This window comes from Homo sapiens, chromosome 14 (genome assembly GCF_000001405.40).
Source record: "Homo sapiens chromosome 14, GRCh38.p14 Primary Assembly".
Classification (NCBI taxonomy): Eukaryota; Metazoa; Chordata; class Mammalia; order Primates; family Hominidae; genus Homo; species Homo sapiens.
Window position 1 is genome coordinate 51,351,195 of NC_000014.9, and position 27,868 is coordinate 51,379,062.

General features: G+C 43.5%; 1 long non-coding RNA gene across 1 annotated transcript in view, besides 1 other annotated feature; it reads left to right on the forward strand.

Moving 5' to 3' along the window:
- Positions 1 to 14,363, forward strand: part of LINC00640 (long intergenic non-protein coding RNA 640) — a 32,165-nt gene extending 17,802 nt beyond the window's left edge. Inside the window, exon 5 of the long non-coding RNA NR_038358.1 lies at positions 14,169 to 14,363. This is a non-coding gene — a long non-coding RNA (long intergenic non-protein coding RNA 640). The remainder of the gene's footprint in view (positions 1 to 14,168) is intronic.
- Positions 17,574 to 18,158: an enhancer, noted in NCBI's record as "H3K27ac-H3K4me1 hESC enhancer chr14:51835486-51836070 (GRCh37/hg19 assembly coordinates)". NCBI's record gives its function as "activates a minimal SCP1, AML or CMV promoter by ChIP-STARR-seq in naive H9 embryonic stem cells {active_cell/tissue: H9 hESC(naive)}" and the evidence as "EXISTENCE:reporter gene assay evidence [ECO:0000049][PMID:30033119]".

Sequence of the window (27,868 nt, forward strand, 5' to 3'; positions counted from 1 at the left end):
TTTTTGTTTTTTTCAAGGAAGCGTTTTGCTGTGCCACCCAGGCTTGAGTGCAGATTTGAGACCATGGCTTACAGCAGCCTCGACCTTTCCTGGCCAAGAGCCTTTCTTTTTTTTTTTTTTCTTTTTTTGAGACGGAGTCTCGCTCTGTTGCCCAGGCTGGAGAGCAGTGGCGCCATCTCGGCTCACTATAAGCTCCGCCTCCTGGATTCAAGCCATTCTCCTGCCTCTGCCTCCCGAGTAGCTGGGACTACAGGCGCCCGCCACCATGCCCTGCTAATTTTTTGTATTTTTAGTAGAGATGGGGTTTCACTGTGTTAGCTGAGATGGTCTCGATCTCCTGACCTTGTGATCTGCCTGCCTCGGCCTCCCAAAATGCTGGGATTACAGGCGTGAGCGACTGCGCCCGGCCACCAAGAGCCTTTCTTAGCACCAACTGTGTACATTGTGTACTGCCCTTTAGCCTTTGCGCTTTGCAGCCTAATCCAAACCAACTGCTGAACGAGACACGCGTCTCCGCAGTCTCCGAGTCTTCATGGCTTTGGTTGTTAATCACTCTCAGCAATAGCCAAATCCCTTCCTCCACGCTGGTCTGTTCTCCCTAACTGAAAATGCAAGTGAAGGTGGACGGTTTGCCGTTCTGAGGAGCCCCTTATCAGTAATAATGTAGCAACTTCAGAAAAGTTAGCTGAGCAGCCTAGAGAAATAAGCAAAGGCCAGAATGTAGAAAGCCTTGACTCCATGCTGCTTCATGAGAACAGGGGTTCTTAGACCTATCAGAGCAGCAGCACCTTTTGACAGCGAATGCTTTCCATCTTATCAAAGGTGGTGTCACCTTTCTTCAAAGCAATGCGGCTGAAACTCTCGACCAAGTTCTCCGCAGCTTCTTCATCTTGCGGATCTTCTCGCCCGGCTGCAGCTCAAAGAGGTGGCACCTCTGGGCAACGCAGGGCCCCGGCAACGTCCCCAAACTAGTGGAGAGCAGGCGCGCGCCAAGGCCTGCTCCTCCTCCACACGCCTTCGGCGGCTCAGGAGGTGGGGCGGCGGCGTCTTCCTTGGTGCCAGGCCTACGTAAGTTTTCCTTAAAGCCTAACTGACAATTCCGCACAGGAAGCCTGTATTGCTGAAATTAGAACAAAAGGCCTATGTACCTTAATGCATTCATATTTCATATTTTAAATAAAACCATGGTTTCCCACAGAGTGACTTCTACTCTAAGAAATGGGGCCAGGAGCGGTGGTTCACACTTGTAATCCCAGCACTTTGGGAGGCTGAGGCAGGTGGATCACTTGGGGTCAGGAGTTCAAGACGAGTCTGGCCAATAGGGTGAAACCCTGTCTCTATTAAAAATACAAAAAAAAAAAAAAAAAGAAAAAAGAAAAAAAATAACCTGGCGAGGTGGCGGATGCCTGTAGTCCCAGCTACTCAGGGGGGTGAGGCACAAGGACCGCTTGAACCCGGGAGGCAGAGGTTGCAGAGTCGATATCGCGCCGTTGCACTCCAGCCTGGGCGACAGAGTCAGATTCTGTCTCTAAATAAATAAATAAATGTATGTATGTAAAGAAATGTAATATCCTGGCAACTTCTAGATAAGCTTTTTATTAGTAAATTACCTATTTATTAAGGTACAGTGAAGGAAAGAACTTGCTAAAAATTATTTTGATTCGGTTCACTCAATATTTGAATACGTGCAAGACATTTTGCTATGCATTTTGCCTCTTGATCTATAAGCAAGAAGTAAATATATATTTTCATCCTTCCAGAATAATTTTCACCCGTATTTGATGGGTATTTGTAGACTGAACATGTGCCAGAGCCAATCTGTCCTTTCTTCTTAAACTCATAGGACTAACCAGGCTGGCAAGTGGTAAATGACACCAAACTAGGCTAGATTCATAGGAATTTAAAAATGTCAATGGACAATATCTACTCACAAACAGATTTTCTAAAAAAATGAAAAAATTTCTTTATCACCATGCTGAGTTGACATATTACCATCCTCTTCTAACCTTTTTTTTTTTTTTTGAGACGGAGTCTCGCTCTGTCACCCAGGCTGGAGTGCAGTGGCGCTATCTCAGCTCACTGCAAGCTCCCCCTCCTGGGCTCACGCCATTCTCCTGCCTCAGCCTCCAGAGTAGCTGGGACTACAGGCGCCGCCACTGTGCCTGGCTAATTTTTTTTGTTTGTTTTTTTTTTTTGTATTTTTAGTAGAGATGGGGTTTCAACATGGTCTCGATCTCCTGACCTTATGATCTGCCCACCTCGGCCTCCCAAAGTGCTGGGATTACAGGCATGAGCCACCGCGCCCGGCCCTCTTCTAACCTTTTCATAGTGGCATCTCGAGTTGAAACACCAGAGCCAACAGTTTGAAATACACATATGGTTTAGGAGGCTGTGTTGCTATAGGACATTTCTGCCCTATCAATGGTACAGAGACAGGAACTTCCTTAGCTCTTTTGCCTGAGGTCATTTGTAGAGACTCAAGTCTCAGTGATGGGATTCGGAGGGCTGCCTGTTAATTTTCGAGAGTGGGTTGTGATGGTTATGTTTATGTGCCCACTTCGCTAGGCCATGATATTCAGTCAAGCTTTCTAGATGCTTGTGTGAGCTATATTTACGTGAGGTAAACATTTAAATCAGCAGACTCTGACTAAAGCAGATTGCTCTCCAAAATGTGGTGACCCTCACCCAATCAATTGAAGGCCTTAAAAGAAAAAAGGCTGAGCTGTTTTGAGGCAGAGGGAGTTATACCAGCAGGCTGCCTTCCAACTTGAGATGCAACATCTTGTCCCTGGGTCTTCAGCTTGCAGGCCTACCCTGCAGATTTTGGACTTGTTAACCTCCATAATCATGTGAGCCAGCCAATTCTTCAAAATCAATCTGTCTCTCTCTCTCTACACACACACCCACCCACCCTTTCAGTTCTGTTTTTCTGGAGAACCCTGACTAATTGATGGGTAGCCTTTAATATGCTTCATTGTCAAACCCATGAGCGGCTTCATAAAAACAATCTGGGATGGCAAGGAAGACTTTTTTGGCTTGGTTCCCAAATTTGGCTTTGACCTTTGCCTAGACTTTGGCCCCTGAATTCCCCCATGAAAACCCTGTGACTGACCCTCAGGACCCAGCTGTCTCTGCCTCTTGAATAACACGCCAAGCTCCCTTACATAGAGCTGAGTCTGAGCCACTAGGCATTTTTCTCTCCAGCTAAAATTACACGGGACTCACTCCTAACTTTGCACAATTTAAGAATCGATTCAGAATTTAACTAGTGAGCATGTCTGAGTTCCAATATCATACAAGGTTAATTCATTAATACTTGAAGATTCAAACAGCATTTTCCTGTACTTGCCCTTTTCAACTCACATAGAGGTGACCCTGTTCTATTATAGTGCCATTTTATACAATTTTGGTCCATTTCTGCTCATGCTTTCCACTACACCCAATGCTGGAGAGAGGACCTATAAAACACTAACCCATGGCGTCACTTGTGTAAATACCGTAATCTATGTACATGATCCAGCTGTGAATGTTGGTAATATTCATAATTATAATGCTCATATTTACTGAGTGCTCACTATGTGCCAGGCATTACTTTGTAGGTACTAAACCCTTTAATGCTCACACCAATCTTAAATGAGGTAGGTGCTATGATTATCCCCATTTTATAGATGAGGAAATTAAGCCACACCCTCAATGGCACCATAAATAGTAGATGACCCCTGAGATTGTTCAGCTGCACTGACTGGCAGCCATTCCTGATGCTCTGCTGCTGGCCTTGGGAATTTCTCCTTCTGCTTCTATCCACAAGGGCACACAGCATGGCAATCCCCTAATCCTGCCTTTGAGGATGCTACCCTGAGAAGCAGAGCCTGTGGCTCTTTGCATCCCACCAGGGAGCAAAGCTCTTCAGTCTTAGATTTTTTTCTGGCTGATCCTCTTTTCTCAGGATGCTGCGGCTTCTGTTCTAGTGTCTAATTTGTCATCATTCCTTTTTTTCCTGCTCACCCCAACATGTGGCCCCTACTTGTTTTTGTGTTATGTTTCTGTGCCCTGTCCCTTCTCCGGAGGGTCTCAGGAAACATCCTGGTGGGCTCAGCATGCTAGGGGCTGCTCTTCACCTTCTCAGCTCCTTTTGATGTAAACTGTACTGCAAGACTGAGGGCTTTGGATAGTTGAGGCTTTTTTTTATCCATACAAAAAATACACTGACTCACCTCTCCTGACTTGTACATAAGATTATCTTGACTCTCTTCACATATCTTGTTCCTTAACCAAAGTCCAATACTGCTTATTTCATTTAAGTATGACTTCAATGAACTTCTTAATTTGAAGAGTTGTAAGTTCTCAGTGATTCTGGTGAAATGTTTTCTTAACTTTGAGATGACTGTCTTCTCTTCCTGTAAGTCACTGAAGAAATCTTCCTAAAGTGAAACAAGCCTTTCTTCATGTCTCTCTTTGGAGCAGACTTCAACTGGCCCTTTAACATGCCCCTCCTTTGAGCAGAGGCACACTTCTTCTCTGTGTGTCTTTGTATCCCCTTATACACCAGGAATCCATGGAGCCCATCATACCAGGTGCCCATAGCATGGTAACTAGGAAGTAGCATAAAAAATATTACCCTACAAAAAAGGAGAGCTGTTACAACCCAATTCATTAATTCCTGGTAGAATTGAAGGGTTAGGTCCTGCTAGACCTGGGTAGATTGGGCTGTCACTGTCGGGAGGCAAGTATAGGCAGGAAAGAGCTGACAGAGTAGGTCTGAGACTTCAGAGCAGAGCCCTACAGTCAGAAACAGAGGTAGTGGCTCCTGGTGGCCTCTGGCACAGACACTGAGGAAATAATGGCCAGGTTGGAACCAGGAGAAGGACGAGGGACAGAGGTAGAGAGCCAAGGGAAAAGCTGGATGTGGGTTCAAGCGCAGGCTATGAGACAGAATTATGAGGCTCAGGGACATCTATGCTGATACTTTCACAGAGAGCAATGGCTTTTCTGAAGTGACAGGTTGACCCCCATTCTCCTAGGATTAAAGGGTCCCATTGTCCTGGAGCCAGCATGGGGGGCTCTTCATATCATAAGTGATAGTGCTGACAGCACGTTTATATTATTTTCTTTAGCAGGAGTTTAGGTGTTCCCAGAACACTGAATTGAACTAAGAGCGAGAGAAAGAGAGAGAGAGAAGTGAGTGAGATGCTGTTGAGTTGAGGTAACCTATCTGTGAAATACATATTTTAAAATTTAGCCATTTGTATAGCTGATTGTCTCCTTAACATTCCATTTAGGAAAGGAAGGGGATCTGTCTTACGAGTCAGATATTTCAGTTTAGCCATCTCATTTGCTATTCCTCTCACAGTAGAGGAAAGCCAAGTGAGTTGCGTAAATGGAATAATTACATTTCCTATTCCTGGGCGACACATTTGCCAATTCTTTCTTAATAGCATTAGAGCCAGGCACGGTGGCTCAAGCCTGTAATCCAAGCAGTTAGGGAGGCTGAGGTGGGAGGGCTTGAGCTCAGGAATTCGAAACCAGCCTGGGCAACATGGTGAGACCTTGTCTCTACTAAAAATATAGCTGTGCTCAGTGGCACACGCTTGTGGCCCCAGCTACTTGGGAGGCTGAGATGGAAGGACTGCTTGGGCCTGGAAGGTTGAGGCTGCAGGAGCTGTGATTGTGTCACTGCACTCCAGACTGCACGGCAGAGCGAGACCCTGCCTCAAAAAAAAAAAAAAAAAAAAAAAGCATTAGAATAGATAGATGCAGGAAAACCCCCTGTGTACATGCAAAAGGTAGTAGTTGTTAGCATAACTTAAAGCATAGATCTCTGGACATAATGAAAAAGAGGCCGCACTGGTCCACAGATTAGAAAGATACATATGTAGAGAAAATGATTTTTGAGCCTCCTTTAAAGATACTATTCCAACTTAATTCATAAACATAATGATAGCATTCCTCACTTACTTTACAGCTACTTCATCATTTTGTCCCATCTAGAGAAGACTCATCTCTGATAGGATAACTCTCATTTATCTCCTGTGTGGCTGGGACTCCCACCCATAAGCCTACATAATTAGAGGCCTGCAGGAGATTCACATTCCTTCTCTTGGTTTGTCTTTTAAAAACTCCCATTTGTTCAGTTTCCCTGGCACATCATACATGTTCTTGCCTTCCTTTCCTTCTTCTCAGGCCCCCAGGCCACTACAGCACGTTTTCTAGAACTTTCCTGAGATATAATGCCTTTATCTAAACACTCTGTGGCTGAGTTCTGGTAAATAATGACAGGCATGTGTGGACTTGTGGGCAGAAGTAGGTTTTGCCTCTGTGCTTTTTCTCAGTGGGAAGCCCAGGAGGCTGGCCCTGTTTCAACCTCCAGATCTTTCTTTTTATGAAGATAATGATGATCACAGAGTCATATTATTGGCCTCCCTGCGGGCACTCAGAGGCAGCCAGCCCAACGCTCTCATGTTTCTTTGCCTTTCATTTGAAAACAACATGTAGGGGCACATAGACAGGGTCAAGATAATTTAAAAGAAGAATTTTTGAATTTAATTAGATAATACTTCTTCATAACATACTTGGTTCATTTGCACAGGGTATGGCAGCATGCAAGGGACTTCCACATGTATGATGCTATATAGTACTTGAAACATTGGAGCTGTTTCTTTTCTGATTATACAAGTGTTAAAGCAAATGTCTCCCTCTGTTTCTGTTAAAAAAGTGACAGAAATGGAATATTTGCCATGATCTCTTTTGCAGATACCATCCTATTTTCTTGCTTTTCAACACAGACTAAATTCTTCCTCAATCCAGTGCTCCTCCAAAGCCCCTTGTTCTTCTTCTTTTATATCTTAGCATTTAAGCTAAAATTAGTATTCATGGCCATATGCTTGTTAATTCCCTTTGCATGAAGGTGCGTTATTGGCAATCTGTGCAGATCATTCTTTAGTTTGGACTTGCAGCTAGCAAACTCTTGGAGCGAGAGCCAAGCTCAGGTGGGCTGGCCTAGAGGACATTGCTTCCTCTTCTTTTCAGCAACAGCTTGCATCTCAAATAGTCCCCCAAGAGGACTATTTGATGAAGTTTTGGCATGTGGAAAATATAAATACACTTTGCAAAGTGGTATAGACAAGCAGAGATTTTTCTGAACTAATATATAATGAGAAAATAACATTGAAATGGGAGCTGAATCCCCAAACCTGCATTGAAGAATGACTTTATTTTTTCCCTAAGCCTTCAAAATACTAAGGTGGGTTGCATACCAATAGCCCTCAGTGGGCTATGCTGAGGGAGAATAAGCTAGCAAAGTAAGAAACAAAATGTATCATTTTAACAAAAAAAAAAATCCCCTTTTATTGACTATGACATACATACAAAAAGATATGTTATGCATATGAGTTGTGGGAGTACGCGCGCGTGTGTGTGTGTGTGTGTGTGTGTGTGTGTATTTCCTAGCTCTGTTCACTGAAAAGGTTTAGAAACCATGACCGACCCAGTAGCAATGGGCATCCCTCGTTCCCAGGTGTGTCTTTGAAACACCATTTTTCCATTAACGAAAACTAGAGAAAATGCTATTTCTAGGTTTGGGATGGGCAATGTACAAGATGTGTCTGGAACACCTTGCCATACCAGATAATGAGGAAGCTCTTGAAGACCACCAGGATCATGTTGAAAACACTCAGGGGTCACCTCGAAGAGGCTTCCACTGGCTGATGAGGGGGAAATTTGAGCTTCAAAAAGGATAATAAATGTAATCATTATGAAACCCATCAAATAAATTGAAATCCATGACTTCATAATGATACCTTAAAAATTGATCTCCTTCAGAGCATAATAGGGAAATAATCCATTTTTTGTGAAAATTAGTAAATGAAAAGAAAGAAACATTTATTCTACTTCTGCTAAGTGAACATGCCACTGAGTAATCAAATAGTAGATGAGGGAAAGTATATTTTTAGAAAAGTGTTCCAGTGACAAATTAATAAATGGAAAAGAAATGATAGAACTAGAAGGTTACCATTTTGCAACCCCCTTTGAATGAATAGATCTTGGCATCAAGCATCAACAGCTGCTATTATCACAACAAGAGAAACAACCAGACACTGCATGTTTCATGATGAAAAAACAAATCACCACCTAGAATCTTGCCAAAAGTTCAAACCTGAGGCTGACCAAGTCTCTGGATCCAGCTCCCATTTGCAGGAAAGATAGAAGACAGAGGACAATCGGTATACAATCAGCAAAGGCCAAATGATGGGAGGTCTACCAGTCAAGTTGGACAAAAAGAAACGGATGGAGGAGAGACCCTGCAGACTATAAGAGAATTAAAAGACACGTCAAATTTACAAATGGGTAAAGCTACACTATAGTGTTTAGGAATGCATGCCTAGGTAATAAAACTACAAGAAACACAAGGAGTGGTTACTTAACACTTCAGGGCAGTGGTTAGCTTTGTGAGAATGAAGCCATATTGAGCAGGATGAGACACACAAGGGACTTTGGGGGTGCCGTGCAAAGTTCCATTTCTTGACCTGGACAGTGGTTTCTAAGGTGTTCACCTTTTAACAATGAATTGGGCTATGAAATCACTTTGTGTGGGTTTCTTAATCTGTGTTTTATTTTATAATGGAAAACGTTAAGAGAGTAGAAGAAAAGAAGAAGACCAATTTTTAAATTTACATTTTATGAATGCCATAAAGGGCTTAACTAGTGAAGAGCAGTTGCGTCAAGACATTATCATGGAATGGTAATGAGCGTGAGCTCTGAGCCACCCTGGTGGGGCCTAAATCGCAGCTTTGCCACTTATCAGCTGTGTAACCCTGGGAAAATCACTCAGCCTCTCTGTTTCAGTTTTCTTATCTGTAAAGTGCATGTCATAATAGTTCCCACTTCATAATGTCATTATAAGATTTACATGAGATGATAACGTGAACATTGAGAATACTGCCAGGCATATAGTAAGGGCTCAATACAGCTATGTTGTTCCTTCTTACTTCTTGCTTTTCTCTCCCATTCATTTTCCTCAAACACTGTAGCATTATCTCTTTCTTAAAATCCTGTGGAGCAGGGTGAGGAATCCTCCACTAGTCCTAGCCTGTGTCTCTCTTGTCCTTCTATCTTCTGCTCCTCATTCTGTATTTAAATACCCCCAGGGAGAAATCTGAAAAGACAGGGAAGGAAAGATCCCAGCTGGGCACTCAGAATCTATTTAGAGATGAGAGAGAGGGAAAGGGACTTTTCTTGAATCCACAGCACCTAGAACAGTGCCTGATCCAGAGCAAGCATGTGGCAGACATTTGCTGAAAGGATAAATAAAAGAACCTGTAGAACGTGATTTTAAAAGCACTGCTCAAGGATTTCTCTTTTGGATGAAGAGTTTGAAGCAGTCCATGGCTTTATTTTTGCCTCGTCCTGCCTAGCTGTTTTTCTTCCCCGCTGCCCCATTTTGGTGTTCATGTCTTAGTATGAGTCAAATAGTCTAAATGTAGTATCTGTTGGCAAAACATACATATTGCGCTTGTTCTTTATTCAGAAAGCCACATGTGGACTCCAGCCCCATGCCTACCAACCGTCTTGTCACTGTCACTCGGAGCTCCTTCCTGCCCAGCGGATGTGTCCACCCTCTCCTTCTTCCTCTAATGTTCTTCCTGTCATTGTTCCCATACGTAACTCCCTCCCATCCTGTGTTCCAGTGTAGATGAGCCCATTGCAGCAAAGCCTTTGTGTACCAGCCTCTCATAGGTAAATTTCCCCATCCACTGCTTGTTTCCCTCCTGTTTCCTTCAAAGCACTTACCATGTATCTACCCATGGATGAATATTTGTGGAGGAGTCCATGGCCTTGACAGCAAATGACCAAACACACACTACAAGAATGGAAGCATGAATGCGAGTTGACTTGTTTCTTGTCTCCTCCATAGCTTCCTTGAAGGTACTGTGACTGTCGAGTTTACTAGTTTCTAGTTTTTAGTGGGTGCTCGATAAATACTTTGTGAATGAATGAATAAACAAATAGATAAAATGTGAAGCTTCAGGCTTGGGGTTGGGGAGGGTGGTTCTACAAGACGACCTATCAGAGTCTCATTGTGAGGTGGAGCAAGGAGATGGGGATTCCAGGACAAGGAAGTAACATTCACAACCTTGAGGAAATAGGCAGTTTTCCCTGAAAGATCTGCTTCTAATGAGGGAGACCACCCCATACCTTTATTCAGAGATGGGCTAGAAGGCAGGACTCAGGAACAGGAACTGAGCCTACAGCCAAGGTCAAGGGCCTACGATGGTGAGCAGGATTGCTGGGCCTATTGTGCCCAGTGGACAGTCTTTAAGATGCTGATTCCAATGGGCATTTTGAGGTTTCTGAGAGTGAATGATGACTGAGTTCCATCAGGGGACTCAGCGTGGCCTGTCACTGACAGGGTGCTTCAGGATTTGGAGTGGTCCATAACTATAGACAGAGTATAGCCAAAAAAGCCTTGAATTTGAACCTTAGTTTTGTCACTTACCGTGTTACCCTGAGCAAGTTTTTAACTTCTCAGCGACTTGGATTCATTGTTTATAAGATGAAGATCAAAGTATGTACTTTCTGTGGTTGTCATGACAATGAAATAAGATCTTTTCTCAGGTAAACTGCCCCATCCAGTATTGCTCAAATCTGGTTGTGCATTAGAATGGTCCATGGGGAACTTAAACACTGCACACACACCTGGGCACAACTGCAGCAGATTCAGACTCAGTAATTCTGGGGTGGCCTCCAATCATCTGTGGTTTGGGAAAGCTTAGAGGTGACTATGCAGCTCAGGCAGAGTTGAGCAAGGTCGGATTGGTGTATATAAGGCAACAAAAGACGGAAGCTTTTCCAGCTATCTCTTCTTCTGCTGCCACTGCCTCATCTTCTTCTTTCTGATCCTTTTCTCCTTTTTTTCTTCTTTGTTATTGGGTGTGAGCATAAGTGGACAAAGTCACATGGTACCTGGAGAAGCAGTGGCATTAAAAACAATTAAAGACTGATAATGTCCACATATGACGTTGATTCCAGCAAATGACTAGATAAAGGCTATGAGAATTGAGGTCTTGATGCTAATTAGTCAGCTTTGAATATCTGGAACAGCAATTGCAAAGGTGTGAAAGATGGTACTGCCAGTACTTCATTTGCATAGAATGACTCTTACACATGCCTTTCCGGTTTTCCTATATTTAAAAAAATTGGCCGGGTGCAGTGGCTCACACCTGTAATCCCAGCACTTTGGGAGGCCGAGGTGGGCGGATCACGAGGTCAGGAGATTGAGACCATTCTGGCTAACATGGTGAAACCCCGTCTCTACTAAAAATACAAAAAATTAGTCAGGCGTGGTGGCAGGCGCCTGTAGTCCCGGCTACTCGGGAGGCTGAGGCAGGAGAATGGTGTGAACCCGGGAGGCAGAGCTTGCAGTGAGCCAAGATCACGCCACTGCACTCCAGCCTGGGTGACAGAGCGAGACTCCGTCTCAAAAAAAAAAAAAGTACTTTCTACTAGACAGTTTCTGATATTCTCAAACAAAACATAACCATTTTAAAATAAAGATTGTAGAGTGGTTTAATTTTCTTGCGTAATGAAAATTTATTGAGTACTTTCTGAGTACATAGCATTGGGCTAAGGACTATTGACGTATGATTTAATTCATTCATTTATTCAACATGTGTTTATTGAGCGCTGCTGTAGGTATTAGAATATCGTAGTGAAAAAAAAAACAGATAAAAATCCCTATGCTATTGGAGCTTACATTCTAAGGGGAAGAGACAGGCCATAAAAAAGTAAACATAGTAAGAAGTAAATCATAAAGTGTTAGAATGTGATAAAATGTTACTTAAAACTATTTTAAGTAAGATGGTTAAGGAGACTCATCGAGAGATGCCTGAAGAAGGAGCAGGAGTTTTACTATGTGGATACTGGGAGCCTCACATACAGGCAGAAGGACTAGCCAGTGCAAAGGCCATGAAGTATACAAGATGTATCTGAGGAACAGCAATGAGGCCAGAGTGGTCTCAGCGAAGTGAAGTTGAGGACTAGGGAATGAGGTCAAAGAGAAAATGACCTTGTAGGTCATTTCGGGACTCTGGCTTTTACATTGAGTGTGATAGAAAGCTACTGGGGTGTCAGGGGCAGAGGAGGTATAGGATTCATATTATAACCAGATCACTCCAGCTGCAGCATTGAGAATAGATCATAGGAAGGCAAGGGTGCAAGGGAGAAGGATGCAAGAGAAGAGGCTCTAGTGGGAATCCAGGGAGAGCCCCAGTGGCTTAAACGAAGATGGTGGCAGTGGACATGGAGACATGTGAATATATTTTGGAGAAAAATTCAGCAGGATTTCCTGATGTGTTGACATGCGGTATAAGAGAAAGTGTGGAATTAGTGACTCTAAGGCTTTTGTTGTTATTGTTGGGTTTGGTTTGGGGTTTTTGTTTGCTTTTTCATTTTTTCCTGGGCAACTGAAAGGATAGAGTTATTTTCCAGATGGGAAGATTGTGGGTGGAAACTGTTTGGGGAAGAATATTAAAGTTTGCTTTCGGTGACTTGAGTTTGATCCCCAAGCGAAGACATCCAGGAGGCGTTGGACCTGAGCATTTGGAGTTGGGAGAGGTATCTGGGCTGGGGGGGCATACGAGGGACCATTGGGGTACAGATGGTGTTAAAAGCCAGAGACTACATGAAATGGGTGAAGGCGGGGTGCAGATGGAGAAGTGAAAAAGTGCAAGGACCAAGCTCTACGGCACCCCCAGAGGTCTGGGGGACAAGGAGGGATCAGCAAAGTAGAGTGATGAGGAACTACAGGTGAGGTGAAAGGAAACTCAGGGCAATGTGGTGTCCTGGCAGCAAGTGTGGTGAGGATGGTGAGGAAGAGAGCAAGGAGGCCAGTACCAAATGCTGCTAGGGGTCGAGTTAAAGGAGGACTGAGAAGTGACCATTGGATTTAGTAATGGGGAGGCCATTTGTTACCCTGACAAGAGTAGAGGTGTTAAAGCCCACTTGGATGGGTTAACAGAGAAGGGAAGGGAGGAACTGGAGACAGAAGAGAGGAACAGGCAGTAGTTCATAGGGAACTGGGTCAAGAGGGTTTTTTTTTTGTTTTTCATTTTTTAAGTGAGAGTGATAATAGCATTTTTGTGTGAAGATGAGAATAATACAATGAGAAGAGGAATTGTTGATGCCAGAGAGAAAGGAGAGCTGCTGGAGCAATGCCCTAGAGTAGGTGGGATGAGATGGGATCTATATGCAGGTGGGAGGTTGGCATTAGATGGGTGCACAGACAGGCCAGCTATTGTGTCAGGTGGGAGGCGGCACATGTGGGTGATGATGCTGGCAGGTATGAGTCTAATGATTTTCCTGATGGCTTCAATTTTCCCTGTGAAATAGGAAACTAAGAACTGGAGAGAAGATATCAGAGGCTTAAGGAGAGTGGATAAGGTATTATGTGGATGTCTAGGAGAGTGGGAGAGTCCATAGACCAGGGAAATGAACACAGTTGCCTGGCTGCACCAAGCACTCATGATGTTCACTATCACAAACATAAAGTGGGACTGGTGCATGTAGTTATGAGTTTTTCGCTAGCCACGTTTGGCTGTTCGGGTGCAGACACAGTTTGCTAGATTTAAACAGGGTTGAGGTGTTGCCAAGTGGGAAAGCTACAGAGAGACAAAGAAATAGAGATTAGATGCAAGGGGGCCATCATGATAATTGCCCAGGTAATGAAAGGAAGCTGAAAAGGGAAGATAGTGAGGGTCAGCAAAAGGTGGTGGGATCAGTGGATGGGTGCTGCCAGTGGGTTGAAGGTGGTGGGAGCAGTGATGGGGCTCCCAGTGGGTTGAAGGTGGTGAGAGAAGAGGATGGTCGTTCCCAGTGGGTTGAAGGCTTGTTGGAGTTGGGACACTGGGTGGTATGAACTGGAGAGTCAGGAGGTAAGTGATCAGATGCTGGGATGGATGAAAATGAGAATATGGATGGCAAGGTGGTTGTTCACCCCCAAACATGGCTGGAATACATTTTTTTGTTCCTTTTTGCAGTTAGATATGGCCAATGCTTAGTTCTGGCAAAGGAAATGTGGATGGAGATGATGTGCCCAGTTTCTAGGCCTGGCCCATAAAAAAATCATCTCATGCAATTCTATACCCTTTTTCTTTTCTGTCTGCCACTGAATGCAGAGAATCCAGCCAGGACTGTGAAGCCCCAGGGAATGGCTGCACTTCAAGTCAGAAGGAGCCTGGGTCCCTGAATCATCATGTGGAAGGCTCTCCACCCAGTTCAATGGTGCAATGGACCACAAGCAGGAACTTAATTTAGAATGTGCTTATTTTGTTAGATTTTGTAATTAAAAAATGGATCCCACTCTGACTGAATCAGAGATGTTGAAGTCATTGATCTGGGAGGGTATGTTCCTGGGAGTGGGTGGCTGAGGTGAGATTTCAAACAAGGTTGTTGAGGAAGAGGAGTTCAAGTGACTGAGAGGACATATTGTTGGATAAATTGTGCGTGCGTGTGTGTGTGTGTGTGTGTGTGTGTTGAAATCACCAAGAATAGGGAAAGAAGTGTATAAGAGAGTGTGGCAGTGAGCCCAGAGCTAAAAGAAATCATGAGCAGGGAGTAATTCACGAGCAGAAAGTAGAAGCAACGAGAGGCAGTTAATGAGAGAAGCAGCTGAGGGATTTTAGCAAGGGATGGGGGAGGATGGTATGGAAGCAGTATCTGGGGGCCAAGAGGACGCCGCCCCATCTCCAAGCCCGGTGGTCAGGAGAATGAGGGGAAAATGTCAGCGCAGGAGAGGCTACGAGGGAGGAGGAGCAGCATCGGCAGGAGGAGCCCCAGGTGAGAGGGACATTCAGGGAAGAGACTGCAGATTACAGGGATTTTTCTAAAGAGGGTTTCTGAATCCAGACGCACATTGGAGGACTCTTGAGATGCTGGGGTCTTGTGATGGGAAGATGGAGACAGAATGAAGGATGTGTGGAGCCCTACGGGGAGGAGAGAATAAAGAAGTGGGGTGACCTGGGAGCCTGGGATTCTTGTGACCATGGACACAGGTATCAAAGGCATGATGCAGTTAGCCCTGGGGAACCTGAGGCAGGTGGTGGTGATGAGGGGCAGGGAGCAGTGGTGTCTGGGACTCAGTCTTGGCTGCTGTCGCTGGAGGCAGTGAGGCCTGAGACAAATGGGATTAGTCCCACTTTAAGACCCTTCTCTGAGCCCATAGGCTTCTTCTTAACCCCTGTGCATGGAAGGAAAAAGGTAGGACATGAGGTTGATAGATGTGATTAAGATGTGGATTCTTAATCACATCTACTAGCTTCAGCTGTCCTACTCTTGGGAGGCTCACTTTTATACATAGAGAAAATATGTGCCATTATAACTGTGCTTCAGTGGGCAAAGTAGAGCAGACTTCATTTAAAAGGCTGCTCCATGCCTCTCTGCCCGGCCGCCCCGTCTGGGAAGTGAGGAGCGCCTCTGCCCGGCTGCCCCGTCTGGTAGGTGTACCCAACAGCTCCGAAGAGACAGCGACCATCGAGAACGGGCCATGACGACGATGGCGGTTTTGTCGAAAAGAAAAGGGGGAAATGTGGGGAAAAGAAAGAGAGATCAGATTGTTACTGTGTCTGTGTAGAAAGAAGTAGACATAGGAGACTCCATTTTGTTCTGTAATAAGAAAAATTCTTCTGCCTTGGGATGCTGTTAATCTATAACCTTACCCCCAACCCCGTGCTCTCTGAAATATGTGCTGTGTCAACTCAGGGTTAAATGGATTAAGGGCGGTGCAAGATGTGCTTTGTTAAACAGATGCTTGAAGGCAGCATGCTCGTTAAGAGTCATCACCACTCCCTAATCTCAAGTACCCAGGGACACAAACACTGCGGAAGGCCGCAGGGACCTTTGCCTAGGTAAACCAGAGACCTTTGTTCACGTGTTTATCTGCTGACCTTCTCTCCACTATTATCCTATGACCCTGCCACATCCCCCTCTCTGAGAAACACCCAAGAATGATCAATAAATACTAAAAAAAAAAAAAAAAAAAAAAGGCTGCTCCATGTTCATTACAGAAAACAAAGTCAATGTGCTGTTGACATTATTGCACATGACTGCACAGCTGTGCACAAGCTCCACCCACCAGGTGAGTCTTACCACTTTCCCTAAGTCCTGGTGCCTTGCTTCTCACAGAGTGGTCCATGGGCCAGCAGCATTGGCATCACCTGGATGCTTGTTAGAAGTGCAGGATCTCAGCAAGACCCAGACATACTGAATCCTCATCTGCATTTTAACTAGATCCCCAGGTGATCCTTAGGCACGTTAAGCCTGAGGAAGCACTGTGATGCATTTCTTGTTATTAGTAGGAACAAAGCAGGTGCCTCCAAGAAGAAAAAGGCAAATGAAAGAAGCAGCTCCAGGAAAGATGACATGTTACTCATCAGCCTTAAAATTCCAAGTTCAATGCATTTTTCCCCCCAGTGCTGGCAGTGTATTGGATTCATGTGAACCTCATTAAAAATTAAAACAAACAAGTTCTAACTTGCATGACTCCAAAAACATTTCATTGTTTCTTTAGGGAGAAATAGATGAGAACAGACAAAGTTGATTACACAGAATAAGGACAAAACAACTCTGAACTTTTAACCTGCATGAGTTGTCAGTAGAATCTCGGAATCATAGAATTCCAGAGTTTAGAGCAGTTAGCTCAACACTGGCTACACATCAGAGTCACCTGGGGAACTTTCCAAAAAGTACAAAATACTAGTGCTGAGCCCCAATCCCAGATATTCTATCTGAGGAAAGAAACGGGCATCAGGTATTTTTCAAAAGCTCTCTGGGTGATTCTTATATGCAGCAAGGATTGAGATTCACTGGTAGAAATAAGATGCAAGACACATATGTGATTTAAAATTATCTAGGACCCAAATTAAGTAGGTAGAAACAAATGAAATTAATTTCAATAACGTATCTTAATCCAATATGTCCAAAATATTATCATTTGAAATGTAGTTAATATAAAAAACTAATAATGATTTTTTTCTCAGTAAGACTTTAACATCCAGTGTGTATTTTACACATGTAGAACATCTCAATTCAGTTTAGCCACATTTCAAGGGTTCAATAGCCACATGTGGCTAATGACTGTCATAGTGGACAGTGTAGTTCCAAGTAATAACAGTAATGCTAGTCTATGAAAGATAGGTTTCCACCTCTGGAAAACAAAATGATTGCCCATTTAAAGTAGAAGAGCCAGTTCAGAAGATAATGAGATGTAATTCAGTATTATTTCTTGCTTGCAAACAGCCTCTTAAAATCATCGTGGAAGTTCAATGAAGAGGTAAGATTTAGAAAGTTTGCAAAATTTCTTCCAAAAAGGGAAATGTCTGGGATTTACGTGACAGAGGCAAACCCTTACGTGATGCTATGTTAAGGCATGTAAATGAATACTGTGCTGAGTTTCTCAGCAACCTATGGTGTTGGGAAGGGCTGATCTTCTGATTTTGATCTAGGAAACGATAGGAATATAGTCAATGGCTACATTTTCTTTTTCTCTCTTGGAATCAACCATTATAAAGAGCAGGCATCTTTGGGGATTTTGGTGTCTGCACAGCTGAATCAGCATCGGAATCAGGAATGTGCGAGGATAACATTCTGCGGTTTGGCATTCCTGTCTCAATTCCTCCACTTCTTAGAAAAGAAGCGTCACTCACTGATATTCTCCCAAACCAGCTGTTGAGTATAATAAAGACCTTCCTCTTAGTATTAACATTAGATTGTATTCTTAGGCTCTAATTTTTACCACGGGATTTTTCCCTAAAGAAATTAGAGAAATCACTTAGCCATTGGCATGTGTTAACTGTAACCAGGTCATGTAGCTCTTCTGAGCCTGAGGCAAATAAACAGAAAATCTTAGCGACATGTGCTGAGAACTAGGTTAAACAAATTTCTCAGGATGGGTTGCAGAATAGTTTGCTGGTGCTGGCAATGAAGTGTAGAGGCACTTAAGAGGGATGATTTTTCTCGCTTTTTACCAAAATGTCTTTGCTTCCCTCATAAGCCACTTTCTTCCGAAAGCCAACCATGTTTTTGTTTATTTGTTTGTTTGTTTGTTTGTTTTTTGAGGCGGAGTTTCGCTCTTGTTGCCCAGGCTGGAGTGCAACAGCGCAATCTCGGTTTACCGCAACCTCCGCCTCCCGGGCTCAAGCAATTCTCCTGCCTCAGCCTCCCGAGTTACAGGCGCGCGCCACCACACCCGGCTAATTTGTTTTTTTTTTTTAATTTTTAGTAGAGACGGGGTTTCGCCATGTTAGCCAGGCTGCTCTCAAACTTCTGACCTCAGGCGATCCGCCCGCCTCAGCCTCCCAAAGTACTGGGATTACAAGCGTGAGCCACCGCCCCCGGCCCCGACCATGGTTTTGTAAAGAGAGAACATTGAAAACATAATTGGTCTTTGGTCTATCTAGTTTCTCCATTTTGTACCCTTCTTTCACCTTTGCCAGTAATACTCTTTTCTCTCGGAAGACCCTGGAATGTTTCTCTAGTGTCAAAATTCATCCCAGCTAAGACTTGTGAACTTAACACCAAAGAGTAACCTGTTTATATCACAGTGCAAATTACACAGAACTATCACTCTTCCAGTGCTTTTGTGATAAAGAAATAAAGCACTATCAGAAGAATACCATGCATCCGCTAGGTAGTGAAGATTTTTAAAAAGTGGGCACAAAATTAGAACAAATGGAACCCTGAAACCGCACTACATAGGCAAATAGCTGAGTACAGATTGAAGTTAGAGAACCCTCGAGGGGCTAGGTATGAGTCTGCAATTATGATAGGCGGCCATCAGGGGGCATTTCAGCGCCTTGGTCGTGTGGCCAAAGGATCAGGTTTACCATAATCAGAGAATAAGGTAATTTTTACTTCTTTAAAAATAGAGTAGTTTAAATAAAATTATCAATTAGGGTTTAAAGATGATTCATATGAGCAAGTTCTTAAACCAAAGCCAAGGAAAAAGTGCGCTACCTGCCTCACTATGCGGTTTTCATAATTCAGGGTAGCCTTGCTTATGGCCCTAAGATGTAATAATCATGTTCCTTCTCACTCTGATTTCTTATTTGGGAACCATATTCTTTTATTGGGTTAAGGGAGAACTTTTTTTTTTTTTTTTTTTTTTTGAGATGGAATCTCACTCTGTTGCCAGGCTGGAGTGCTGTGGCACGATCTCAGCTCACCGCAACCTCCAACTCCCTGGTTCAACAGATTCTCCTGCTTCAGCCTCCTAAGGGAGAACTTTTAAAGGGGATTTTCACAATTTCAATAGCCCAGCAGTATCCTCTCACTCTCTTTTCCTTTTCCACTGCTACATGGAATGGAAGGAGCTGCTCGCTGTGTTAAAATGTGGAGATTATTTTGAAAATTTGAATATGAAGAATAAGTGTCTTAAGCCATTCTCTCATTTTTATAAAGAAATAACCTGAGACTGAGTAATTTATAAAGAAAGAGTTTTAATTGGTTCTCGGTTCTGCAGGCTGTACGGGAAGCATAGTGACATCTGGTCCCGGGGAGGCCCCAAGAAGCTTACAATCATTGTGGAAGGCAAAGTGGGAGAAGGTACATCACATGGCAAAAGCAGGAGCAAGAGAGTGAAGGGTGAGGTGCCACACACTTTTAAATGACCAGACCTCCCAGGAACTCACTCATTATCTCGAGGACAGTCCCAAGGGGATGGCACTAAACCATTCATGAGCAATCCACCCCCATGATCCAGTCACCTCCCATCAGGCCCCACCTCCAACACTGGGGATTACATTTCAATGTGAGGTTTGGGCAGGGACCACATCCAAGCTATAACAAGTAGTTACTTTAAAAGAAGTGAAGTAGTCTTAGCTGATATCTGCAAGATATTAGAAGGGCTTTTCAGGTCAAATTACTCTGAGGTTCTCAAGAGAGAAGTCTGACACATATAAGATAAAATGTGTGAGGTTTAATCCATCTGAAACTCTACAGTGCTCCCCTTTGCTTAAAGATTAGGTGTAGATTATTCCATCTAATATGAATGAGTGTAGGACTCACATAGTGGATTAAGTTAATGCTGAGTGGCAAGGTAAAGACATAAAAATAAATCTTAACGTTTGACTCAGGAGATTGCATTTAATTTGGCAGCTAGTAGGAAACCATTGAATGTTTTTGAGTAAGAGGGGTGGCATTCATGCAGTAGTGCTTTAGTGTCAGGGGAAACAAAGGACAGAAAAAGCTCAAAAGCTTGGTGGAAGTGGAATCCATAAAACTAGGTAGCAGATCAAATGTAGAGACTAAAGAAGAAAGATGAGTTAAAGATGACTCTGATGATGAGTAGGAGGATGATAGTGTCCTGAAAGAATAGGGAGGCCAAAAGTTGGAAAGAAATATAAACTTGACCTTCAACATGCAGAGTTGAGAATCAGATAAAAATGTGTATGTGAAGTGCTTTGGAAGGTGCACAGGATCATTGTCATGTAATAATACCATTTAGTAAACACAAGGCAAGTATTTTATGTGTAGGATCTCAGATACAGGCTGTGCCCCCACTGTCAGGAAAATGACCCATAAGTACAGGAGAAAGAACTTCAGGGCAGAGGAAGACTATGTCCTGAGCTTTTTGTTTTGTTTTGTTTTTAATCAGTTGGGGCAATTAAAAGAGGCAATGAGAAAGTAGCAAAGAGAACATAACAAGTGAAACAACAGGAGGTCACTCTAAATAGCCCAACGAGTTGGAGATGACAAGCTTCAATGTGGTAGAAAAGACAATGGGCTTCAAGTAGGACTGGCTGAGTTCAAATTCAGACTCCACAAGTTAACTAGCTGGCTTATGGTGGGCAACTTCACCTCTGCATGCTTCAATTTCTCTATCTGTAAAACGAGGCTATTTAAAGTATCTGCTCATAGAGTTATTGTGAGGATTAAGGGAGATCATACTCGAAAGTGCTAAAAGCAGTGCCTGGAACACCGCCACAACTCAAAAACTGTTAGCTGTCAGCAGTAGTATCATGGAAGTTAAATCAGAGAAAAAAAAATTTAACTATTATTTTAGGTTCGGGGTACATGTGCAGGTTTGTTACACAGGTAAACTTGTGTCACAGGGTTTGCTGTACAGATTATTTCATCACCCAAGTACTAAGCCTAGTACCAAATACCTATTTTTTTCCAATCTTCTCCCTCCTCCCACCCTCCATGCTCCAATAGGCTCTAGTGTCTGTTGCTCCCCAATTTGTGTCTATGAGTTCTTATCATTTAGCTCCCACTTACAAGCGAAAACATGTAGTACTTGGTTTTTTGTTCCTGCATTAGTTTGCTAGGGATGACAGCCTCCAGCTCCATCCATGTTCCTGGAAAATACATGATCTCATTCTTTTTTTATGGCTGCATAGTATTCCATGGTATATATGTACCACATTTTCTTTATCCAGTCTACCACTGATGGGCATTTAGATTGATTCCTTGTCTTTGCTATTGTGAGTAGTGCTGCAATTAGCATATGTGTGCGTGTGTCTTTATGGTAGAAAGATTTATATTCCTTTGTATATATACCCAGTAATGGAATTGCTGGGTTGAATGGTAGTTCTATTTTAAGTTTTTTGAGGAATTGCCACAGTGCTTTGCACAATGGTTGAACTAATTTACACTCCCACCAGGAGTGTATAAGCATTCCCTTTTCAAATCAGAGAAAATTTCAAGGAGGTGGTCGATGATGCCAAACTTTTCTTAGAGTGGTGACGGTGGAGGGCAAAATTTGTCTTTAAAATATGAAATTTCAATAAGAAGATTAGGGTGATTGCAATAGCAGTAACAACAGGAACAATAACTCACATTTATTTCCTTCCATGTGGCCTTCTGATTGAATTTGCTATACGTTGGGGAAATTATTTTCAGTCTTCCTCATGCACATGAAAAAAGTCTGACAAAAAGTAACAATATGTAAAAAAGTAGGTGTTTAATATTTATAACACTAAGTAGCACGTTTGCTTTCTCTCAGAAGAAAATTTAACAGTATAATTTGCCAAGAGGAGGTAATCTAATTATCACGTCCACCCTGAATAGCATACTGCCAAGCCTAGGAACTGTGCTGGTGAACATTTAAAAATATTTTCTCAATGCACATCTTCTAAACACTGTGTACTCTGCTGTAATATACCCTACTGTAACACTTTTCCTAGGATTTATACTGGGTATATGTCAGTGATTTAATTACATTTTTTAAATGGATGCTATTTTTAGGATCCTCCTGAGCCTTTAAATTCTAGTTGACTATATATTGTTTAATACCATATTAGTCGGTTCTCATGCTGCTCTAAGGATGTACACCAGACTGGATAATTTATAAAGGAAAGAAGTTTAATTGACTCACTCTTCCACAGGGCTGGGGAGGCCTCAGGAAACTTACAGTCATGGTAGAAGGGGAAGCAAACATGTCCTTCTTCAAAAGGTAGCAGGAAAGAGAAGAATGAGCGAAGGGGAGAAAAGCCCCTTACAAAACCCTCATATCTCATGAGAACTCACTGACTGTCACAAGAACAGCATGAGGGTAACCGCCCCCATGATTCAATTATCTCCCACCATGTCCCTCCCACAACACATGGGAATTCAAGATACAATTCAAGATGAGATTTGGGTGGGGACATAGCCAAACCATTATCACCCACCCCTAACACCCCTGTTTGCTTCTAGACCTATAACAATAGACTCAGGTCCCAGCAGGCCCCTAGAGGTGAGGTTCAGAGTGTGACCCATGAGGAGGGGCACTACGCTCCAAAATAACTGCTTGAGTTTTCTAATTTATGTAAGCAGAAATCTGGAGAACAGGAATGGGAATGGATATTAAGGGTGTGGGGTAGTGGTGGAAGGAGCATAAAGTTGGATCAGGCTGAATTTATTGATTTGGGCCCACTAAGCAGGGATTCTACATTTAATGTTGCAGCTTGGGGAGTTAAAAAAGGTTCTAATAGTTTATTTGCTTCGTTAGCTGAAATATGGATGAAAAGATGGCCCACTATAAGTGACCTAGAAATGCCTGATCTCCCTTGGTTTAATGTAGAGGAAGGGATCCAAAGGCTTAGGGATATGGGAACACTAGAGTGGTTTAGTCACATTAGACCTGCTCATCCCAGCTGGGAGAGTCCAGAAGACATATCCTTCACTAATACCTTGTAAAACAAATTTGTGAAGGAGGCATCTGCTTCCTTGAAGAGCTCTGTGATTGTTCTCTATATGCCAGATCTCACAGTGGGAACCGCAGTCACAATTACAAAACTGAAATACAATGGGAATAATTGAATCTCAAGGTAGCTGGGGCCAAGTGGCAGCCCTCAACCTTCAAAGGCAAGGTGGGCATAGTTACCGTAATGGACAGCAAAGGCAAAGCAGCAATCAGAATAGTCTGACTCATGTAGAGCTCTGGCATTGGCTAATTCATCATGATGTTCCTAGAAGTGAAATTGATAGGAAGCCTACTGCATTCTTACTTAATCTATATAAGCAGAAAACTTCCAGGTTGAGTGGACAAAGACTAATTTGAATTATAAAATCAGAGAATCATGGCCCCTCAGTGAATTTCAAGACCTGAATGAGTTTACAGACCCAGAACCCCTTGAATGAAGGGGAGTCCGGATCCCCTTGAGGAAAGACCCCACTACATCACTGATAATTTATGCTGTTAATCTTTCTCCCATCCTTCCCCAAGAGACCTCTGGCCTTTTACCAGAGTGTCTGTGCACTGGGGAAAGGGGAATTATCAGAACTTTTGGGAACTACTGGGCACTGGCTCTGAGTTGACGCAGATTCCAGGGGACCCAAAACGTCACTGTGGTCCTCCAGTTAAAGTAAGGGCTTATTGAGGTCAGGTAATTAATGGAGTTTTAGCTCAGGTCTGACTTACAGTGGGTCCAGTGGGTCCCCAGACTCATCCTGGGGTCATTTCCCCAGTGCCAGAATGCATAATGGGCATAGACAGTCTGTCATACTTAGCAGCTCACAGAACCCCCACATTGGCTCCCTGACTGGTAAGGTGAGGGCTATTATGGTGGGAAAGGTCAAATGGAAGCCATTAGAGCTGCCTCTACCTAGAAAAATTGTAAATCAAAACCAATATCGCATCCCTGGAGGGACTGCAGAGATTAGCGCCACCATCAAGGACTTAAAAGATGCAGGGGTGGTGATTCCTACCACATCTCCATTCAACTCTTTTATTTGGCCTATGCAGAAGATAGACGGATCTTAGAGAATGACAGTGTATTATCGTAAGCTTAACTAAGTGGTGACTCCAATTACAGCTGCTGTATCAGATGTGGTTTCATTGCTTGAGCAAATTCACATATCTCCTGGTACCTGGTGGGCAGCCATTAATTTGGCAAATGCCTTTTCTCCATTCCTGTCCATAAGGCCCACCGGAAGCAATATGCCTTCAGCTGGCAAGGCCAGCAATATACCTTCACTGTCCTCCCTCAGGGGTATATCAACTCTGGCTTTATGTCATAATCTTGTCTGGAGAGATCTTGATCGCTTTTCCCTTCCACAAGATATCACACTGGTCCATTATATTGATGGCATTATGGTGATTGGACCCAGTGAGTAAGAAGTAGCAAACACACTGGACATATTGGTGAGACATTTGTGTGCCAGAGGATGGGAAATAAATCTGACTAAAATTCAGGGACCCTCTACCTCAGTAAAATTTTTAGGGGCCCAGCAATGTGTGGCCTGTTGAGATATTACTTCTAAGGTGAAGGACAAGTTGTTGCATTTGGCCCCTCCTACAACCAAGAAAGAGGCACAGCGAGTCCTCTTTGTGGGCCTATTTGGATTTTGTAGGCAACATTTTCCTCATTTGGGTGTGTTACTCTGGCTCATTTATTGAGTGACCCGAAAGGCTGCCAGTTTTGAATGGGGTCCAGAACAGGAGAAGGCTCTGCAACAGGTCCAGGCTGCTGTGCAAGCTGCTCTGCCACTTGAGCCATATGACCCCCCCAGATCCAATGGTGCTTGAGGTGTCAGTGGCAGATAGGGATGCTGTTTGGAGCCTTTGGTAGGCTCCCATAGGTGAATCACAGCAGAGGCCTCTAGGATTTTGGAGCCAGGCCCTGTGATCTTCTGCAGATAACTACTCTCCTTTTGAGAGACAGCTCTTGGTGGGTTTACTGGGCTTTGGTGGAAATTGAATGTTTGACTATGGATCATCAAGTCACCATGCAACCTTAACTGCCTATATTAACTGGGTGCTTTCTGACCCATCTAGCCATAAAGTGGGTCATGCACAGCAGCATTCCATCATCAAATGGAAGTGGTATATACATGATCAGACTCAAGCAGGCCCTGAAGGCACGAGTAAGTTACATGAGGAAGTGGCTCAAATGCCCATGGTCTCCACTCCTGCCACTCTGCCTTCTTTCCCCCAGCCTGCACCAATGGCCTCATGGGGAGTTCCCTATGATCAGTTGACAGAGGAAGAGAAGACTAGGGCCTGGTGCACAGATGGCTCTGCATGATATGCAGGCACCACGTGAAAGTGGACAGCTGCAGCACTACAGCCCCTTTCTAGGACATCCCTGAAGGACAGTGGCAAAGGGAAATCTTCCCAGTGAGCAGAACTTTGAGCAGTGGACCTGGTTGTACATTTGAGTCAGTGGACTGGGAGCGGCAGACCCACCCTCAATCTGAGTGGGCACCATCTAACCACCTTCCAGTGCAGCTGGAATAAAGCAGGCAGGAGAAGACAGAAGAGCAGACTTGCTGAGTCTTCACGCCTTCATCTTTCTCTTGTGCTGGATGCTTGCTGCCCTTGAATATCGAACTCCAAATTCTTCAGCTTTTGGACTCTTGGACTTACACCAGTGGTTTGCCAGGGGCTTTCAGGCCTTTGGCCACAGACTGAAGGCTGTGCTCTTGGCTTCCCTACTTTTGAGGTTTTGGGACTTGGACTGATCCACCACTGGCTTCCTTGCTACTAAACTTGCAGATGGCCTATTGTGGGACTTTACCTTGTAATCGTGTGAGTCCATTCTCCTTAATAAACCCCTGTTCATATATACATCTATCCTATTATTAATAGTCGGTCCCTCTAGAGAACCCTGATTAGTACAGTGGGTGGTGAGGAGAATCAGCATTGCCTTGTCTGGCAACTGCCTCAGGGGAGGCCATCACTGTTGCCTCAGGCAGCTCAGGGTTTATCTCCTCAGATAAAGGTGGAAAGGCTGATGGCAGCCTGGATGGAAGAAAGGATGTTGTCACCACTGGGGCTGGGGAGGCTGTTTCCTCTGGCAAAAAAAGGCTCATCAGAGTTTACAAGCTCAGTGTCCCCAGCTTCATCATGGTCCTCCCACACATCCCCATTCCAAGTTGCAGGGTCCCATTCTTTTCCAATCAATACCCTCACTTTGACAGTAGACACCTGGTGAGACAGAGTGCACCTTTTGGTGCAGGTCAGCCACTTGCATGATAAGAGCTTGTGCCTGATTTTCCACATTTTCAGTCCTTTGTCCATAGGAGATAAGACTCTCACTCAGGGCAATTCTACGATAAGCTGTCTGCAAGCTGAGGAGCAAGGAAGCCCGTGGTGGATCAGTCCAAGTTCTAAAACCTCAAAAATAGGGAAGCCTACAGTGCAGCCTTCACTGTGGCCAAAGGCCTGAGAGCCCCTGGCAAACCAATAACGTAAGTCCAAGAGTCCAAAAGCTGAAGAACTTGGAGTCTGATATTCAAGGGCAGGAAGCATCCAGCATGAGAGAAAGATGAAGGCCAGAAGACTCCGCAAGTCTGCTTTTCTATCTTCTCCTGCCTGCTTTATTCTAGCTGCACTGGCAGTTGATTGGATGGTGCCCACCCAGATTAATGGTGGGTCTGCCTCTCCCAGTCCGCTGACTCAAATGTTAATCTCCTTTGGCAACACCCTCACAGACACACCCAGGAACAGTACTTTGCATCCTTCAATGCAATCAAGTTGACATTCGGTATTAACCATAACAAATAACAAAATCTGGTTTCTTGGAGTATGAACATTTACTGTTATAGTTTGCTGGACTTGCTTCATTTAGAAAATGTAAAACTAGGCTGGTCATGGTGGCTCATGCCTGTAAATCCAACACTTTGGGAGGCTGAGGCAGGAGGATCACTTGAGGCCAGGAGTTTGAGACAAGCCTGAACAACATAAGCAGACCTTTATAAAAAATTGCCAGGCATGGTGGTGCCTGCCTGCCATCCTAGCTACTCAGGAGGCTGAAGCCAGAGGATCGATGGAGCCCAGGAGCTCAAGTCTGCAGTGAGTTATGATTGTTTGCACCATTGCACTCCAGCATGAGTATTAGAGTGAGACCCTATCTCTTAAAAAAAAGGAATTATACTATTACCATGCAATAAATCACTGTAAGCAATTTGGTATATTTTTTTCAGACTTGTTTCCATATATTTCTTTTTATATAGTTGTAATCATTCCACACATGTAATATTGGCACTGTTCTTTAATATGAAATTATTAATAACTTTTATTTTACTACATGGTCTTCAGAACCATGGCTTTAATTATTATATAATAATTAATTATTATGATATATATTATATATCATATATATATCTATGATATAGATATATGATGATTTACCTCTTTATTCCCTTCTAACTGGACATTAGTTTCTTACTTTTTTACTATTAAAATGGCAGCATTTAGCATATTTAAGTATGTAGCTTTTTCATATTTAATATTTTTCCTTACACTTAGAAGTTTAGCTGAGGATTAAAGGGCACAGGCATGTTTATAGCATTTGGTAAACAACGCCAAATTATTTCCCAAATGGACACACAGACACACAGACACAGACACAGACACACACACACACACACACACACACACACACACGTATCTGTT